Source organism: Homo sapiens, chromosome 11, assembly GCF_000001405.40.
Source record: "Homo sapiens chromosome 11, GRCh38.p14 Primary Assembly".
In the NCBI taxonomy this organism is placed as follows: domain Eukaryota; kingdom Metazoa; phylum Chordata; class Mammalia; order Primates; family Hominidae; genus Homo; species Homo sapiens.
In genome coordinates, this window is record NC_000011.10 from 46578846 (window position 1) to 46598369 (window position 19524).

At 43.9% G+C, this 19524-nt stretch overlaps 1 protein-coding gene across 10 annotated transcripts in view, besides 3 other annotated features; it reads right to left on the minus strand.

Moving 5' to 3' along the window:
* AMBRA1 (autophagy and beclin 1 regulator 1) overlaps window positions 1–15178 on the minus strand; it is a 197612-nt gene extending 182434 nt beyond the window's left edge. For 7 of the 10 annotated variants that reach the window (NM_001367470.1, NM_001367469.1, NM_001267783.2 and 4 more), the window contains exon 1: window positions 14983–15178. The gene's annotated coding sequence lies outside the window, so the exon portion shown is untranslated. Of the gene's footprint in view, window positions 1–8409; window positions 8600–12279; window positions 12520–14982 lie in introns of those variants that run through there. The other 3 variants (NM_017749.3, NM_001367468.1, NR_160027.1) reach the window with 2 other exon arrangements.
* Window positions 5429–6273: an enhancer, noted in NCBI's record as "NANOG-H3K27ac hESC enhancer chr11:46605824-46606668 (GRCh37/hg19 assembly coordinates)". NCBI's record gives its function as "activates a minimal SCP1, AML or CMV promoter by ChIP-STARR-seq in primed H9 embryonic stem cells {active_cell/tissue: H9 hESC(primed)}" and the evidence as "EXISTENCE:reporter gene assay evidence [ECO:0000049][PMID:30033119]".
* Window positions 14930–15430: an enhancer, noted in NCBI's record as "H3K27ac hESC enhancer chr11:46615325-46615825 (GRCh37/hg19 assembly coordinates)". NCBI's record gives its function as "activates a minimal SCP1, AML or CMV promoter by ChIP-STARR-seq in primed H9 embryonic stem cells {active_cell/tissue: H9 hESC(primed)}" and the evidence as "EXISTENCE:reporter gene assay evidence [ECO:0000049][PMID:30033119]".
* Window positions 14933–15362: an enhancer, noted in NCBI's record as "active region_4682". NCBI's record gives its function as "activates an Ori minimal core promoter by ATAC-STARR-seq in GM12878 lymphoblastoid cells {active_cell/tissue: GM12878}" and the evidence as "EXISTENCE:reporter gene assay evidence [ECO:0000049][PMID:35858748]".

A 19524-nucleotide genomic window follows, 5' to 3' on the forward strand; every position in this document is an offset into this window, starting at 1 on the left:
ATGCACTCCAGCCTGGGCGACAGAGAGACTCAGTCTCAAAAAAAAAAAAAAAAAAAAAAAAAAGTATAGAGCTTTGAGCTTTGTCACAATTATACATTCAGTACATAGAAATAAGAGCCAATAAACAAGTGAATGAATAAAGAGGTTAACCAAGCACCTCAGCTAATTAGCTATAGCAACAATGACCACAAGAAAGCAATAAAAAAAAAAAAAAAAAAAAGATAAGGAATGAACTTTAAAAGCCAGTAATACCAAAATACAAAGAACCATTCAGTAGGGAGGTGAAAAAAGAAAGGCTAAACATAGCAAATTTTAAAAGTACATAAAAAGGGCCGGGCATGGTGGCTCACGCCTGTAATCCCAGCACTTTGGGAGGCTGAGGCAGGAGTATCACCTGAGGTCAGGAGTTCGAGACCAGCCTGACCAACATGGAGAAACCCCATCTCTAATAAAAATACAAAATTAGCCGTGTGTGGTGGTGCATGCCTGTAATCCCAGCTACTCGGGAGGCTGAGGCAGAAGAATCACTTGAACCCGGGAGGCAGAGGTTGTGGTGAGCCGAGATCACGCCATTGCACTCCAGCCTGGGCAACAAGAGCAAAACTCCATCTCAATAAATAAATAAATTAAGTAAGTAAGTACATAAAAAGTAGATAAACCCTTAAGGCCAACATAAAAAGGCCAGAGAATCATTACTCTCACCATTTTGCAAATATCTTCATACCCTCACCCTTTTCTCTCTTAATACAACATCCTGGCAAGATACCAAGCTAAGCAGCCAAGAATACAAAAAATGGAAAGGTACAGCTCCTATCTTCACGGATCTTACTGTCTTAGAGTATACTTCTTATGAGGAAACAGACATGTTTTGTTTTGTTTTGTTTTGAGATGGATTCTTGTTCTGTCACCCAGGCTGGAGTGCAGTGACATGATATCAGCTCACTATATCCCCCGCCTCCCCAGTTCAAGTGATTCTCCTGCCTCAGCCTCCTGAGGAGCTGGGATTACAGGTGTGCACCACCACGCCTGGCTAACTTTAGTATTTTTAGTAGAGACAGGGTTTTGCCATGTTGGCCAGGCTGGTCTTGAACTCCTGACCTCATGTGATCTACCTGCCTCAGCCTCCCAAAGTGCTGGGATTACAGGCGTGAGTCACCACGCCCAGCCTACACATGTCAATAATCAAAATACACAGACCATCTCCACTTCGTCCCTTCCCATGCCTTAAACCCAATTCAATTTAGCTTCTGGCCCTACTTTCCTCCAATATTGTTCTTGCTATAATCATCAATGATCTCTGTGCTGACAAATCCAACAATGTACAGTGATTACTCCCTTCCTGAAATATGTTCCTATGTTGGTTTCTCTAATAACAAGCTCTTACATTTTCTCTTGAATTCCTTGGAGTGTGGTCTTCTCCTCCTACTCTATACTTGTTCTCTAGGAGATCTCATCCATTTCCCTTGGTTGTAAATACCATCTATATACTAATACCATCCAGATTTCTCTCCAGCGCTACTTTTGTGAATCAGCCTAAAGACTACTTACTTGATATCTGCACTTGTATGTTTTCACAGGCATCTCACAATTAGCATGACTAAAACTGAGGTCTTCATTCCACTCCCCAACTCTAATCCAAATCTGCTCCTCCTCCAATGTTTCCATCTCAGAAACACCACCTTCATCTACCCAGATGCTCAGGCCAAAAATCTGGAATCATACTTGACACCTTCTTCTTCCCACACATCCAATCCATTAAGTCTTGCCTGTCCTAATTCTAAAATATCTACTGAATCTTTCTACTTCTATCTCCACTGCCTACAGTCTAATCCAAACCATCATCGCCTTTTGCCTGGACCACTGCAATACTTCCTAACCATACTTCCCCGATTTCTTCTCTTTCCAAACCCCTCCCCACAATGTACCCACAGTAATGGGGTGTTGCTGTTGTTATTGTTGTTTTGGAGACAGAGCCTTGCTCTGTCACCCGGCCTGGAGTGCAGTATCATGGTTTAAGCTAACTGCAGTCTCAACCTCCGCAGATCAGATGATCCTCCCACCTTAGCCTCTTGAGTAGCTGTAAGCACAGGTGTGAGCCACCGCACCCAGCTAATTTTTTTGTACTTTTTGTAGAGATGGGATCTTACCATGTCACCCATGCTGGTCTCAAACTCCTGAGCTCAAGCAATCCACCCGCCTCAGCCTCCCAAAGTGCTAGGATTACAAGCATGAGCCACCGCGCCCGGCCCCAGAGTAACGTTTTAAAATCATATATAAGGTCATGATACTCATGCTTAAAACCTTCAAAATCTTCTAATTATACTCAGGATAAAAATCCAAAAGCTGGCCAGGTACGGTGGCTCACACCTGTAATCCCGGGACTTTGGGAGGCCAAAGCAGGTATATCACCTGAGGTCAGAAGTTCAAGACCAGCCTGGCCAACATGGTGAAACCCTGTCGCTACTAAAAATGAAAAAATTAGGCCAGGCGCAGTGGCTCACACCTGTAATCCCAGCACTTTGGGAGGCCAAGGCAGGCAGATCACGAAGTCAGGAGATCGAGACCATCCTGGCTAACACATGAAACCCCGTCTCTACTAAAAATACAAAAAATTAGCCTGGTGTGGTGGTAGGCGCCTGTAGTCCCAGCTACTTGGGAGGCTAAGGCAGGAGAATGACGTGAGCCCGGAGGCAGAGCTTGCAGCAAGCCGAGATCGCACCACTGCACTCCTGCCTGGGTGACAGTGCGAGACTTCCTCTCAAAAAATAAATAAATAAATACATAAATAAATACACAAATAAATAATTACCCACATGTGGTGGCACGTGCCTGTAGTGCCAGCTACTCAGGAGGCTGAGGCAGGAGAATCGCTTGAACCCAGGAGGCAGAAATCGCACTGAGCCAAGACCACACCACTGCACTCCAGCCTGGGCTACAGAGCAAAACTCCATCAAAAAAAAAAAAAAAAAAAAAAAATCCAAAAGCCTTGCTGGGTGTGGTAGTTCATGCCTGTAATTTCACCACTATGAGAGGCCAAGGTGGGGAAGGAGCTCTTGAGTCCAGGAGTTTGAGATCAGCCTAGGCAACATAGTGAGGCTTTGTCTCTACAAATAATCAAAAATTACCTAGGCATGGTGGTGGGTGCCTGTAGTCCCAGCTACTTGGGAAGCCGAGGTGGGAGGATCCTTGAGCCTAGAAGGTCAAGACTACAGTGAGCTGTGATCACACCACTGCATGCTAGCCTGGGGAACAGAGACCCTGTCTCAAAAAAAAAAAAAAAAAAAATTCGAAAGCCTTGACATAGTCCTGCCTAAGTCTCTATCCTCATTCTATGCCTCTTTCCTCCATCCCCTACTGTTCACTGTATTCCAACCATATCAACCTTCTTCCAGTTTCTCAAATGTGTCAAGTTCTCTCCCATCCTGAGAATTTCATACATGCTATTCCCTTCCCTTTCTATCCTTCTAGTCTCTGCTTAAGTATCACTTCTTCAGAAAAATATTTCTCAAACCTCCAGTTTAATTCAGGTTCCCCTACTATAATCTCTTTTTATTCTTCTGTCATAGGTTTGGCACACACTGCAATTATATGTTTATTGGTATAATTATTTGTTTACTGTCTCTCTTTCCTCTGGACTATAATCTCCATACAGGCATGGACATCTATTTTTCCACTCTAGTCTCACTATATTGACCTAGTGTTTTAAAGTGTTTAGTAGTTAAGAATCAGTATAACTTAGAGGTTAAGAGCAGGGGAATGTGGAGCCAGGTTGTTTGGACGCGAATCCTGGTTCTGCCATTTGCTAGCTATATACCTTGGGCAAATTGCTTAATTTCTCTGTGCCACAACTGCTACATCAATAAAATGAGAAGAATAAGAGTACTTACGTCATAAGGTTGTTAGTTGGAATGAAAAGAATCAATGCAAAGCGCTTACTACAGTACCTGGCACAAAGCATTCAATAAGGACTGGTTCTGATCAGAACCAATATTTGCTAGATAAACAAAAGTCTGAAAAGGTACGAATTGAGATGCAGAATCACAATCAAGAAATAGTTGTAAAAGGCCTCACAGGGATATTTCATAACTCAAAAAAAAAAAAGCCATAGTACATAATACACAGCATTATGGTATCCTCACTGCCTACTGAAGGAATACACATGCAACAAACATTTATCAAATGAATGACTGTCGCCAAGTCAATCCTAAGCCAAAAGAACAAAGCTGGAGGCATCACGCTACCTGACTTCAAACTATACTACAAGGCTACAGTAACCAAAACAGCATGGTACTGGTACCAAAACAGAGATATTGATCAATGGAACAGAACAGAGCCCTCAGAAATAATGCCGCATATCTACAACTATCTGATCTTCGACAAACCTGAGAAAAACAAGCAATGGGGAAAGGATTCCCTATTTAATAAATGGTGCTGGGAAAACTGGCTAGCCATATGTAGAAAGCTGAAACTGGATCCCTTCCTTACACCTTATACAAAAATTAATTCAAGATGGATTAAAGACTTAAACGTTAGACCTAAAACCATAAAAACGCTAGAAGAAAACCTAGGCATTACCATTCAGGACATAGGCATGGGAAAGGACTTCATGTCTAAAACACCAAAAGCAATGGCAACAAAAGCCAAAATTGACAAATGGGATCTAATTAAACTAAAGAGCTTCTGCACAGCAAAAGAAACTACCATCAGAGTGAACAGGCAACCTACAAAATGGGAGAAAATTTTCACAACCTACTCATCTGACAAAGGGCTAATATCCAGAATCTACAATGAACTCAAACAAATTTCCAAAAAAAAAAAAAAAAAAAAAAAAAAACAACAAAACAACCCCATCAAAAAGTGGGCGAAGGACATGAACAGACACTTCTGAAAAGAAGACATTTATGCAGCCAAAAAACACATGAAAAAATGCTCACCATCACTGGCCATCAGAGAAATGCAAATCAAAACCATAATGAGATACCATCTCACACCAGTTAGAATGGCAATCATTAAAAAGTCAGGAAACAACAGGTGCTGGAGAGGATGTGGAGAAATAGGAACACTTTTACACTGTTGGTGGGACTGTAAACTAGTTCAACCATTGTGGAAGTCAGTGTGGCGATTCCTCAGGGATCTAGAACTAGAAATACCATTTCACCCAGCCATCCTATTACTGGGTATATACCCAAAGGACTATAAATCATGCTGCTATAAAGACACATGCACATGTATGTTTATTGCGGCACTATTCACAATAGCAAAGACTTGGAACCAACCCAAATGTCCAACAATGATAGACTGGATTAAGAAAATGTGGCACATATACACCACGGAATACTATGCAGCCATAAAAAATGATGAGTTCATGTCCTTTGTAGGGACATGGATGAAATTGGAAATCATCATTCTCAGTAAACTATCACAAGGACAAAAAACCAAACACCGCATGTTCTCACTCATAGGTGGGAATTGAGCAATGAGAACACATGGACACAGGAAGGGGAACATCACACTCTGGGGACTGTTGTGGGGTGGGGGGAGGGGGGAGGGATAGCATTAGGAGATATACCTAATGCTAAATGACGAGTTAGTGGGTGCAGCACACCAGCATGGCACATGCATACATATGTAACTAACCTGCACATTGTGCACATGTACCCTAAAACTTGAAGTATAATAATAATAATAAAAAGAAAAAAAACAAAAAAAACAAATGAATGACTGAAAAATACACACTCTGCTATAATCACTAGAAAGAATTTTTTTTTTAATTTTTCTGAGACAGGGTCTTGCCATGATGATGCCCAGGATGGAGTGCAGTGGTGTGATCTTGGCTCACTGCAGCCTTGATCTCCTAGGCTCAGGCAGTCCTCCTGCCTCAGCCTCGCAAGCAGCTGGAAATACAGGCATGCACCACCATTTCCAGCTAATTTTAAAAAATTGTTGCCAGGCTCAGTGGCTAACACCTGTAATCCCAACACTTTGGGAGGCTGAGATGGGTGGATCACCTGAGGTCAGGAGTTCAAGACCAGACTGGCCAACATGGTGAAACCCTGTCTCTACTAAAAATACAAAAATTAGCTGGATGAGGTGGTGGGTGCTTATAAACCCAGCTACTCAGGAGGCTGAGGCAGGAGAAACGCTTGAACCTGGGAGGTAGAGGTTGCTGAGATCACACCACTCACTGCACTCCAGCCTGGGCGACTGTGCTCTCTGTGCTCTCTGAAACATGTGCTGTGTCCACTCAGGGTTAAATGGATTAAGGGCGGTGCAAGATGTGCTTTGTTAAACAGATGCTTGAAGGCAGCATGCTCGTTAAGAGTCATCACCACTCCCTAATCTCAAGTATCCAGGGACACAAACACTGCGGAAGGCCGCAGGGTCCTCTGCCTAGGAAAACCAGAGACCTTTGTTCACTTGTTTATCTGCTGAGCTTCCCTCCACTATTGCCCTATGACCCTGCCAAATCCCCCTCTGCGAGAAACACCCAAGAATGATCAATAAAAATAAATAAATAAATAAATAATTCCAAAAAAAAAACGCTGGGCATGGTGCCTCACACTTGTAATCCCAGCACTTTGGGAGGCCGAGGCAGGTGGACCACGAGGTCAGGAGATCGAGACCATCCTGGCTAACATGGTGAAAGCCCGACTCTACTAAAAATACAAAAATTAGCCAGGCGTGATGGCACACGCCTGTAGTCCCAGCTACTCAGGAGGCTGAGGCAGGAGAATCGCTTGAACCAAGGAGGCGGAGGTTGCAGTGAGCTGAGATCACGCCACTGCACTCCAGCCTGGGTGACAGAGCAAGACTCCATCTCAAAAAAAAAAAAAAAAAAAAAAAAAAAAAAATATATATATATATATATATATATATATTCCTAGCTTCCCAAATTGCTGGGTTTAAAGGTGTGGGCCACCACACCAGGCATAAAGACTTTTATAATTGGAAAATAACAATAATTTTTTTTTTCTTTTGAGACGGAGTTTCGCTCTTGTTGCCCAGGCTGGAGTGTGATGGCATGATCTCAGCTCACCACAACCTCCGCCTCCGGGGTTCAAGCTATTCTCCTGCCTCAGCCTCCCGAGTAGCTGAGATTACAGGCATGCACCACCACACCCAGCTAATTTGTATTTTTAGCAGAGACAGGGTTTCTCCACGTTGGTCAGGCTGGTCATGAACTCCCAACCTCAGGTGATCCACCCGCCTCAGCCTCCCAAAGTGCTGGGATTACAGGCATTAGCCACTGCACCCAGCCGAAAATAATAATGATTTTTAAAACTGGACGCACTGGCTCACACCTGTAATTCCAGCACTTAGGGAGATCGAGGTGGGCAGATCACTTGAAGCCAGAGTTCAACACAAGCCTGGCCAACATGGCAAAACTCTGACTCTACTAAAAGAAATACAAAAATTAGCCAGGTGTGGTGGCACACACCTGTAATCCCAGCTACTCGGGAGGCTGAGGCACAAGAATCGCTTGAACCCAGGAGGCAGAGGCTGCAATGAGCCAAGATTGTGCCACCGCACCAGAGCAAGACTGTCTCCAAAAAATAATAAAAAAATAATTTTTTAATTAAAAATAAAGATCCATCTTTTTACTTTTTTTTTCCTAGCTAGGATTTGAACCTATATCCTTTTACTTTATTTTGAAGGGTACTGTGGGGAAAGAGGGACAAATATGCTGTTTTAACTTCCTATTCCCTATTAAAGTTTTCCCAAAGCATCTAAACTTCAATCTAAGAATCATTATCATGTGTTCTTTTGGAAAACTTTATTTTGTTATAATAACATTGTTACTAACAACTGGCATATACAGCACCTAGTGCTGTTCTAAATGCTTTATACATATTAACTAATTTAGTTCTTACAACAACTGTATGGTATTTTACAGATGAGGAGAGGCACAGAGAGACTAAGTAACTTGCCCAAGTTGTATAGCTAGTAAGCAGGGGTGCTGGAATTTGAACCAGGCTGCTTGGCTCCAGGACTCAGTGCCACTATGCTGCTATTCAAAAGTCTGGGGAGAGATATTTTTCTGTCCTGTTTTCAGTGGTCGCCTAGAATAAAATACTCCAATTTTCTCTGCAAATCAAATGTGCTTATTAATCCTCTCCAACTCAGCAAAATTTCAGATGCTTCATTATACTATAGGTATATATACCTGTGATCTATTCTAGAGAGTAGAAATAAGTGATGAAATCATGAAATATAAAATTTGCTTCAGCTCATTTTAAAGAAACACAACTTCAGGTCAGGCACAGTGGCTCCCGCCTATAATCCCAACATGTTGGGAGGCCAAGGTGGGCAGATCACCTAAAGTCAGGAGTTCGAGATCTGCCTGGCCAACATGGTGAAACCCCATCTCTACTCAAAATACAAAAATTAGCCGGACGTGGTGGCACACACCTGTAGTCCCAGCTACTCGGGAGGCTGAGGCACGAGAATCGCTTGAACCCGGGAGGTGGAGGCTGCAGTGAGCCAAGATTGCACCACTGCACTCCAGCCTGGGCCACAGAGTGAGACCCTGCCACAAAAAAAAAGTAAAAAATTAAACTCATTAGTCAAGCATGCTAGATATTTATAAGTCCTAGTTATCCTTGACTATGTAAAACCCAGTATTATCATACATTAAATATCAGACACATATTACATGTAGCAATCAATCTTAAATGAAGACTGAAGACTTAGATGGCAGCAAGGAAACTTAAATTTACGCAATTATGATTCGTGATTCCAACTTTTCAAGGGGATTAAGGATGCTATGACTGAAGACTCTAATCCCTGTAAATACCCAGGGCTCGCCTCACTCCTTCTTCCCTCTGTCAGCCCTTGTTTATTTCCTTCAGAATACTTGTTTCAGTCTAAATTTCAATATTTATCAAATACCTATACTCCCCACTGGAATAAACTCCATAAGGAGACCATAAGAACACCTATGTCTACCTTTGTATCCCAACATCTAATGAGTCTTCAATAAATATTTGCTAGATGAACAAACATCTTCATAGGTAAGGGTTGAAACACACAGTCACAATCAAGAAATAGCTCCACAACGTCTGATGGGAATATTTCTGACCTCAGAAAAAAACACGGTACCAAAACAACACACAATGAAGAAAAAAATTTAGGTAGAGAAGTGAAGATTATTAACCCTAAGAGCAGAGGGAGAGACAAAAAATAAGTCAGAAAAGAAATAGAAGGAGGATGGGTGCTGTGGCTCATGCATGTAATCACAGAACTTTGACAGGCCAAGTTGGGCAGATGACTTGAGGTCAGGGGTTCAAGACCAGCCTGGCCAACATGGTGAAACCTGGTCTCTACTAAAAATACAAAATTAGCTGGGCCTGGTGGCACGTGTCTGTAATCCCAGCTACTCAGGAAGCTGAGGAGGGGGAATCACTTGAACCTGGGAGGCGCAGGTTGCAATGAGCCAAGATAGCGCAGCTGCACTCCAGCCTGGATGACAGAGCAAGACTCCATCTCAAAAAAAATAAACAGAAAGTAGCAAGTTGCCCAAGAACTTAAATAACATCTGTTCATTGTTGTTGTAAAATAGCATGGAAGTTAACAATTGAAGAGTACTTTATCCTTTTAAAGCATTTTCACATACTTTTTCTCAATGTAATCAACTTAAGTATTATGATGGGCCGGGCACGGTGGCTCATACCTGTATTCCCAGCACTTTGGGAGGCCAAGGCAGGTGGATCACCTGAAGTCAGGAGTTCGAGACCAGCCTGACCAACATGGTGAAAACCCGTCTCTACTAAAAAAAAAAAGTACAAAAATTAGCCAGCCACATGCCTGTAGTCCCAGCTACCAGGGAGGCTGAGGCAGGAGAATCGCTTGAACCCAGGAGGCGGAGGATGCAGTGAGCCGAGATCGCGCCATTGCACACCAGATTGGGCAACAAGAGCGAAACTCCATCTCAAAAAAAAAAAAAAAAAAGTATTATGATGGATGTTTTACTTTTCCATTCTTTAAATACAGACTCAGAAAAGCATTCAAAGCCTTTGATTTCAATCACAGCTCTACTATACCTACTGTGTGATCTTGGTTAAATTATTTACTGTCACTGGGCTTCAACAAAAAAATGGAAAAATAGTATCTCTATGGGGAAATTAACATCTACTCTAAAGGACTCTTATAAGTAATAAATGAAATAACACATGTAAAGAACATGACACAGTAAATGCTCAATAAAGGACATTAACCTTCCCTACAGCCTCCTTAAATAATTTGTACAAGACTTCTCAGGTAGTAAACCTAGGGCTTAAACCCAGATCTCCTGATTACTTAATCTATTTTCTCCTTACATTACATTGGCAGGCTGCCACATACTACTGGACACATAAATACATGCTGACAATAACTAATCATAAAATTTTTATCCATCAGTAACTAATTTTAGCTGTGCAAAAAAAAATTGATCACATTAACTTGGGGGAGCCTGAAAAGATAAAATATAAATGACCCCAAACCACAGGACAGGCTGTACCACAGCATTTCTATACAAACAGAAATTAAGACACTGAAAGCTCTCTCTGAGTTTATGAGGAACAATTGGAGAATGAAACAAGAATGACTGTGATTAAAGGAACCTAAGTTTTTTTGGGGTAAACCAAACCACTGGGCAAAAAAATGCGGATTCCACTCCAAAATAACTCTACCAAGGCTGAGGCATATCTTAGAAAAAGACACCTCTCTGTGCTAACAACAAAACATTTTCTCTTATTCCTTTAAGAGTGAGATAAATTGGAAGTGTGAGAGAAATTGCCAACTTTTTTTTTTTGAGACAGAGTCTCCCTCTGTCGCCCAGGCTGGAGTGCAGTGGTGCTAACTCGGCTAACTGCAAGCTCCGCCTACCGGGTTCACGCCATTCTCCTGCCTCAGTCTCCCAAGTAACTGGGACTACAGGCGCCCACCACCATTCCCCGCTAATTTTTTTTGTATTTTTTAGTAGAGAAGGGGTTTCACCGTGTTAGCCAGGATGGTCTCAATCTCCTGACCTCATGATCCACCCACCTTCGCCTCCCAAAGTGCTGGGATTACAGGTGTGAGCCACCGCGCCCGGTCTAAAAATTGTCAACTTAAACAGACAACATTCACCAATATGCTTGAGGACCAAAATGTTTGGATTTGATATTAATAAGCACCATAAAGCTACATGATCAAAACAAAAGTTTTATAAGTTTCCTAACACATATTGAAAATATTGTGAAAATTATACAGTATAAAAATGTATGGCCGAGCGAGGTGGCTCATGCCTGTAATCCCAGCACTTTGGGAGGCCGAGGTGGGCAGATCACAAGGTCAGGAGATAGAGACCATCCTGGCCAACACGGTGAAACCCCATTTCTACTAAAATACAAAAAATTAGCTGGGTGCGGTGGTGCGCACCTGTAGTCCACTTGAACCCAGGAGGCAGAGGCTGCAGTGAGCCAAGATTGCGCCACTGCCTGCAGCCTGGTGACAGAGCAAGACTCCATCTCAAAAAAAAAATTAATTTAAAAAAATGTAAGCCAGGTGCATGCACCTGTAGTTCCAGCTATTGGGGAGGGCTACTTGAGCCCAGGAGTTTTGAGTCCAGCCTGAGCAACATAGGGAGACCTCATCTCTTCAGGAAAAAAAAAAAATTAAATTACTACTTTATTAATAAAAATAATCAATTGTTTTCTAACGATATACAAAACTAATCTTTTTCAAGTGATATACATAACTCTGTTCCAGCTTAAGTTCTAGAAGTTCAAATCTTTAATCATCTCCAAGAACTTTCTTACTAAAAGACAGAATTCAGTCACATTCTGAACCCGTCCAGTTTTTAAAGGAAATGTCAACAGAGAACCCAATCTAACATTGACAGAACACCACAAGATTTAACCAAGTAAGTTAAAAGCTGAGTGAAAATACAAAAAATTAGCCGGGCATGGTGGCACACGCCTGTAATCCCAGCTACGCAAGGAGGGCTGAGGCAGGAGAATTGCTTCAATCCGGGAAGTGGAGGTTGCAGTGAACTGAGATCGTGCCACTGCACTCAAGCCTGGGCGGCAGAGTGAGACTCCATCTCAAAAAAAAAAAAAAAGAAAAACAAAAAGAAAAAAAGCTGAATGAACTTCTATCACAAAGCATGAGATAAGTTGATTAAGTTGATAAGCTCTATCCCTGTAACCTCCCATCAACACCACCAAATTTCTTGGCCTCAATTCAACTTAAGCCTCTGCCAATTATTTCCTGCAGAAACATAATAAAATATTCCTAAGATTGCTTCATGACACTCACAGCAATTTCCATTTGTTATTTAGCATTCATTAGGAGCCAATGAGATAGTCCTTATAACTCTAAATTCTACGCAGAACTTATCAATTCCCAGTGGACAATGTTGCTTTCTTCTCTACATTCTTTCCTCTGATATACATTCTCTTCTACCATAAAAACTTTTTCAAAAATGCACATTCTTAGCTTAACTTCCCAATCTAGATTCTCCATAAAGATAGTCTGGTGGCTCTTCATTAATCCCCTTCTGGGAGCACTGAGGTCGTGTAACTAGGAAATTGCTTATGATTAAGGGCCCTTCATTTAAATCTTGCTGACCTCACACAAAAAATTAAAGGAACAGTAATCTTTCCAAAACTCACATGAGAATACTAAAATAGTGGGAGAATGTGGCCTTGTACAGTTTCCACTCAAGGACTAGGAACTGAATCTCTGCACCCTTAAAACCACTCTCTTAGCCGGGCGCGGTGGCTCATACCTGTAATCCCAGCACTTTGGGAGGCCAAGGCAGGTGGATCACGAGGTCAGGGGTTTAAGACCAGCCTGGCCGAGATGGTAAAACACCATCTCTACTAAAAATACAATAAATTAGCTGGGCGTGGTGGCGACGCCTGTAATCCCAGCTACTCAGGAGGCTGAGGCAGAGAATTGCTTGAACCTGGGAGGCGGAGAAGTTTGCAGTGAGCCGAGATCGCACCACTGCACTCCAGCCTGGGGGACAAAGCAAGACTCCGTCTCAAAAAACACACACACAAAAAAACGCTCTCTTACTGATTCTACATACTTTGGAAACTTATCCAACCCAGAATGACCTCAAGACTGATTTTTTTTTTTTTTTTTTTTTGAGACGGAGTTTCGCTCTTGTTGCCTAGGCTGGAGTGCAACGGCGTGATCTCGGCTCACCGCAACCTCCGCCTCCCGAGTTCAAGTGATTCTCCTGCCTCAGCCTCCCAAGTAGCTGGGATTACAGGCATGCGCCACCACGCCCGGCTAATTTTGAATTTTTAGGTTTCTCCACGTTAGTCAGGCTGGTCTCGAATTTCCGACCTCAGGTGATCCACCTGCCTTGGCCTCCCAAAGTGCTGGGATTACAGGAGTGAGCCACTGCGCCCGACAGGCTGAATTTTTTTTTTTCCAAGAATGAAGTGACACAAATTAGGATCATGGTACTGAATCCGATGAAAATAACAGACTTAGTCCCCAGACTTTCCAAGCTGGGAAGGAAAAGGGAACCACAAAGGAGTTCCCAAAGCGTTAACCTTTCATTTAAATATCTCAATATTTGAATGATTTCTACACACAGCCTTTTTTAGCTTTTGTATGTGCAGTGACCAAACTACTAATCAAATACAACAAAACTGGGCGGGCGCGGTGGATGCCTGTAATTCCAGCACTTTGAGAGGCCGACGTGGACGAATCACTTGAGGCCAGGAGTTCAAGACCAGCCTGGCCAACATGATGAAACCCCGTCTTTACTACAAATACAAAAATTAGCCGAGTGTGGTGGCGCGCGCCGGTACTTCCAGCTACTCGGGAGTCTGAGGCAGGGGAATCGCTTGAACCCGGGAGGCAGAGGTTGCAGTGAGCCAAGATCGCGCCACTGCACTCCAGTTTGGGCGACAGAGCTAGCCTGTCTTAAAAAAAAAAAAGAAAAAAGAGAGACAGACTCCTTGGGTTTCCATTGGATACTCCCCAGAAAGCAGACCCTCACAGGACAAGCGTTTGCCTTCAAAGTCTTGACCATCCTCTACTAGACTCTAACCTCTAACCACAAACACCATAGTTATAAGATTTCCAAAGAGGCTGGGGAGAAGGAGGATAAATCAACCAGGAAACAATGTAGACAACAAGGTTATCAGGAAACAAAGTAGACAACAAGGTTATCAGGAAACAAAGTAGACAACAAGGTTATCAAGAAACAAAAAGAAACTGTCATTGCTACACTAGTTAAAATGATACAGACTTTGAAAAGCAAAACAGCCAAGAAACCACATGGTTCCTTTACTTCTGAAGCCTCTTGTGACAGGATCTATATTCCTAACAGTCTATATTCCTAGGAAAATTGGGATCACAGACGATCAAACAATAACTCACTGTTTTCATAACTTGACTGGTAAGTGGGGGGAAGGGAATTGGTAAACGACAAAAAGTGACTTACAGTGAATTTAATGATCTGTTGGGGATATGTGGGGAAGTCACGTCCCAGACATCAGCCTCAGTTTACCCACCCAGAAAAAGGCGAGAACATAACACTTCGCTCAGAAGAGCCAGAGGGCCTTGTTCCATAAGCCTCCACCTACTCAAAGGTCCCTTCAAAGGCTGGACTCAGTAGGGGTCCCCAGTGCAATTGAGGCATGACACCCGGAGACTTCGGGGTGGGGGGAAAAGGAGAAAGGAAGGAGGGTCAAAGTGCGCAAAGCTCTATCGGTTCCTGGAAAGCCATTTTCGCCACACACTGGGGGTGCCCTAGACCCAACATCTCCTCCCTAAAGAACCACACCGGGAAGCCCCAGCAACTCTCCCTCCTTTCGGCTTCTCCCTCGGTTCCGGGCTGCCCCTCCGGCCGCGCCCCTCAACGCAGTCCGGTAGCCCCTCCTCTGGCAGTGTCACGGCGGCCGGCCAGCCTGCCCACCCGCCGGCGCCAAGGTCTTCTCAACCCCGCGGCGGAAGGATGCCGGGCTGGGCCTCCCAGGCTCCTCCTGGGCCTACCTGCAAGGCAGACGGGAGCTCGGTTTGCAGTCCAGCGAACGGGCTGAGCCACAGGGAAAAAGAAAGAGGAGACAGGAATAAAGGAAGGGGTCCGTTCTACCGACCGGCAGGAGAAGGCGGCTTGAGCGCGGGGCCTCGCGGACAACTCAGCCCTCGACCCGGCGCCGCCGCCGCTCAGGAGACATCAAGCAAGAAGACGGCGCAAAAGATCACCGAATACAAGAACGCCCCAGACATCAAAGGAGGAACGCCCAAGCAATCGTTCAAGGAACCACAGCCGAGCGCCGAAAAACAGCTCAACTCCTACTCAAGGTCCGGCTCCTGTCTGAGGCGTAAATAAACAAACCCAGATCATAAGCCACGGGTTAAAAAAGAGCCTGCACTTCTGCCATTTTCTGTGGGTCGCCGGCTGTTAAAGTTCTTTAGAGAACTGGAGTTTCTCGTGAATGTGTTGAAGATCAAATCATAGCGCAATAACACTTGTTGTGTAACTATAGTCCCCCAACTGTTCTATGGACTCCCAACACTCTTTATCCCAATTGAGCAAATTAGTTAACCTCATTTGACCCTTAGTTTCCTAACAGAGCAGTGAGGGGAATTAAAAATCATAGAGACAGAAAACGAGAGAGAATTCAAGCTGAGGAACAAAATGAACAGTCTACGTAAAAGCTCCAGTTTAGTCCCCACAAAGCATGACCAAGAGAAGCTGGGAAAACCCAGAATTATGTAGCCTGACCTTAAGGCAGGGGGAAAAAAAGCACACGGATTGCTTTTCTCTTTTATTTTCTTCCAAAGGCCTAGAGCCACAGGTGTGCTTCTTACATAATAAGCAAAAGTCTCTTTGGGTTCAGAACCTGATAAAGTGTTGACATTTTCATCACCACAACAATGGCTTTTTTCTGTAGTCTCTTAGTTGATAAATGAATATGCTCAGCACAAATATGGATTAATATGTACATCCTAGATGTGATTCAATAAATCACAAAGATCACTGCAAGTATGGTTACCAATTGTGAGCAATCATAGTCTACCTTACCTGCTCCTAGGGAGGTTTACACCCTTCCCCACTACTCAGAGAGGAAGGGTGTAAAAAGGAAACAAGATAGTCCCAGTTTGTCGGGCGCAGCGGCTCACGTCCATAATTCCAGCACTTTAGGAGACGAGGCTGGTGGATTGCTTTGAGCCCTGGAGTTCAAGACCAGCCTGGGCAACATGGTGAGACTCCAGTCTCTATAAAAAAAAAATAAATAAATACAAAAAGTTAGCCGGGCCTGGTGGCTCCCGCCTGTAGGCCCAGCTACTCGGGAAGCTAAGATGAAAGGATATCCTGAGCCCGGGAGGTGGAGGCTGCGATGAGCCATGATCACACCATTGCACTCCAGCCTGATCTATGGAGCAAGACCCTATCTTAAATTTTTTTTTTTTTAAATGCCGGGCGCAGTGGCTCACGCCTGTAAGCCCAGGACTTTGGGAGGCCGAGGCAGGTGGATCACGAGGTCAGGAGTTTGAGACCAGCCTGGTCAAGATGGTGAAACCCCGTCTCTACTAAAAATACAAAAATTAGCCGGTCGTGGTGGCGGGTGCCTGTTATCCCAGCTTTTCGGGAGGCTGAGGCAGGAGAATCGCTTGAACCCAGGAGGCGGAGGTTGCAGTGAGCAGAGATCGTGCCACTGCACTCCAGCCTGGGCGACACAGCAAGACTCCGTCTAAAAAAAAAAAAAAAAAAAAAAAAAAAAAAAAAAAAAAAAAAAAAAAAGTCCCAGCCTTTGAAGACTTTAATTAAACTCAAAGAGCACATCCTTACAGTATTAGCCTTTTTTAAATAATGTATTGGCACTTTACAAAAATCTCCTCTAAGTCTTTGAAAATACTGCCCAGGCCGGGCGCGGTGGCTCACGCCTGTAATCCCAGCACTTTGGGAGGCCGAGGCGGGCGGTTCATGAGGTCAGGAGATTGAGACCATCCTGGCTAATGCGGTGAACCCCGTCTCTACTAAAAATACAAAAAATTAGCCAAGCGTGGTGGCAGGAGCCTGTAGTCCCAGCTACTCGGGACTACAAAAAAAAAAAAAAAGAAAGAAAGAAAACTCTCCTTCTTGGAGAGGCTTGTGGAGCATAGCTATAGCCCTCATTCAAATTTTACTCAGATAACTACATTGTTTTTGTTTCTTTGTTTTTTGAGACGGACTCTCGCTCTGTCGCCCAGGCTGGAGTGCAGTGGAGCGATCTTGGCTCACTGCAACCTCTGGCTCCTGTGTTCACGCCATTCTCCCGCCTCAGCCTCCCGAGTAGCTGGGACTACATGCGCCCGCCACCACGCCCGGCTTTTTTTTTTTTTGAGGATTCTCGCTCTGTCACCCAGGCTGGAGTGCAGTGGCATGATCTCGACTCACTGCAAGCTCCGCCTCCCGGGTTCACGCCATTCTCCCGCCTCAGCCTCCCGAGTAGCTGGGACTACAGGCGTCCGCCACCACGCCCAGTTAATTTTTTGTATTTTTAGTAGGGATGGGGTTTCACCGTGGTCTCGATCTTCTGACCTTGTGATCCGCCCGCCTCGGCCTCCCAAAGTGCTGGGATTACAGGGGTGAGCCACTGCGCCCGGCCACGCCCGGCTAATTTTTTTGTATTTTTAGTAGAGACGGGGTTTCACCGTGTTAGCCAGGATGGTCTCGATCTCCTGACCTCGTGATCCACCCACCTCGGCTTCCCGAAGTCCTGGGATTACAGGCTTGAGCCACTGCGCCCGGCCAACTACATTGTTTTGAAACCTTGATTGCAGTAAAAAAAACTAATTTCACTGCTCTAGACATTTTCCTTTTTTCAAAAGCTGGAGACTTTTGAGTAAAACACCTGAAAGTTCGGCAAAGATTTATCTAAAATCATCATCTGAAAATGAAAATATTTGCAACGCTGAGTCTAGACTGCTTTGTGAGACCATGGAAAGGGTGGCTTATTCTATGGGCAGAGTTGCACCTTTACAGATAAATTTCCTTTAGAGAACTGTTCTTTTCAAATATGTATGTATATATATGGATTTAAGCTTCAGTTTGACAGCAAACTACTGCATGTTCTTATGGAAATGTTTATTTAGACTGAAGAGTGGATCACAAGAGATCAGGAGTTGAAACCATCAACCTTGCGGGAATCTCCTCACACTAGAGGAAAAACTGTAAAAAAGAAACAAGGCCAGCAGAAGTGAAGATCATCCTGGGCTGTACCCCTGATGTTCCTCATATTGATGTTAAGACTCAAGAACTCATTATGGTGTTTACTGTTGATCACTGAATTCTGGTAGGACTCTCCTCATGGAGCCACTCCCCTGAGGTAGGATGGTGCTTCCCTGAAGTAGGATAACCAGTCTTAGTTTTGCCCAGGACTGAGGAGTTTCCCTGAACATGGGACTTTGAGTGTTAAAACTGTGACAGCCATGGGAAATCTGGGACAGTTCACTCTTAAGCATGGACCTTGCCCCTGTCAATCACATGGAAAAAACTTTGGAAAGACTAAACCAACAAGAGGTCAGGTGTGGCAGCTCACACCTGTACTCTCAGCACTTTGGAAGTCCAGGGCGGGAGGATAGGTTAAGTCCAGGAGTTTGAGACCAGCCTGGGCAACATAGTGAGAACCTGTCTCTAAAAAACAAAAAAATTTTTTTAATTAGCAGGGAGTGGTGGCATACACTGGCAATCCCAGATGTTCAGGAGGCTGGGGCAGGAGGCTCACCTGAGCCCAGGAGGTCGAGTCTGCAGTGTGTCATGATCACACCACTGTACTCCAGTCTGGGCAACAGAGACAGTGAAACCCTGCCTCAAAAAAAAAAAAAAAAAAAAAAGAGGATGAGGATGGGACACACTTGCCTAGGAGACTTGCCTGGAATGAAGGGTGAAGGAGGGAGGGGAGAGAACAGGGAATTGGAGACTGTTCCTTATCTTGGCTCTGGGTTCTGAGAAACATGCCTCTACCACACACTCGGTGGTAGAAATCAGGTTTGACCCTAGCGTGAGATAATTCTGTAATGGTACCGTGAGTCATCTTACTAGGAAGTGCAGGAAGACCAGTCAGGCCTTGAACAGCTGAAATGGTAAGCCAGTTGTCAATTCTGCCATTGCAATTCTGTTCTGTTCTTTTCTAGCCGGTTCTTTTTGTGCTGTGGGGTAATGTATACACTTGATGATGGAATGGTAAAGGTAGTAGTATAGTGACGTAGGAGCAGCCCAGGGAAGGAGAGAGAGCCCAGAACAGCAGGGAACTGCTAGCCGTAGAATGATAGAAGGCTCTCCCTTCTTTGGAATTATTTCTATAAGATAAATCTCCAGTGATGAAATTTATCAATAGATCAAAATGTATGAATATTTTAAGGCTCTAGAATGACAAAGAAATCAGCCCATCTGTAAAAGACAGCATAAAGATTAGAGAAAGTTAACATGTCAACAGAATAATAGATCCTTAATGTTTTGCTGGGCAAACAGGGAGGCCCCTTTTTGAAATTTGCTAATTTATGATTTCAAAGTCTAATCTCCTTTCTCCTGTTCAGTATCCAGAG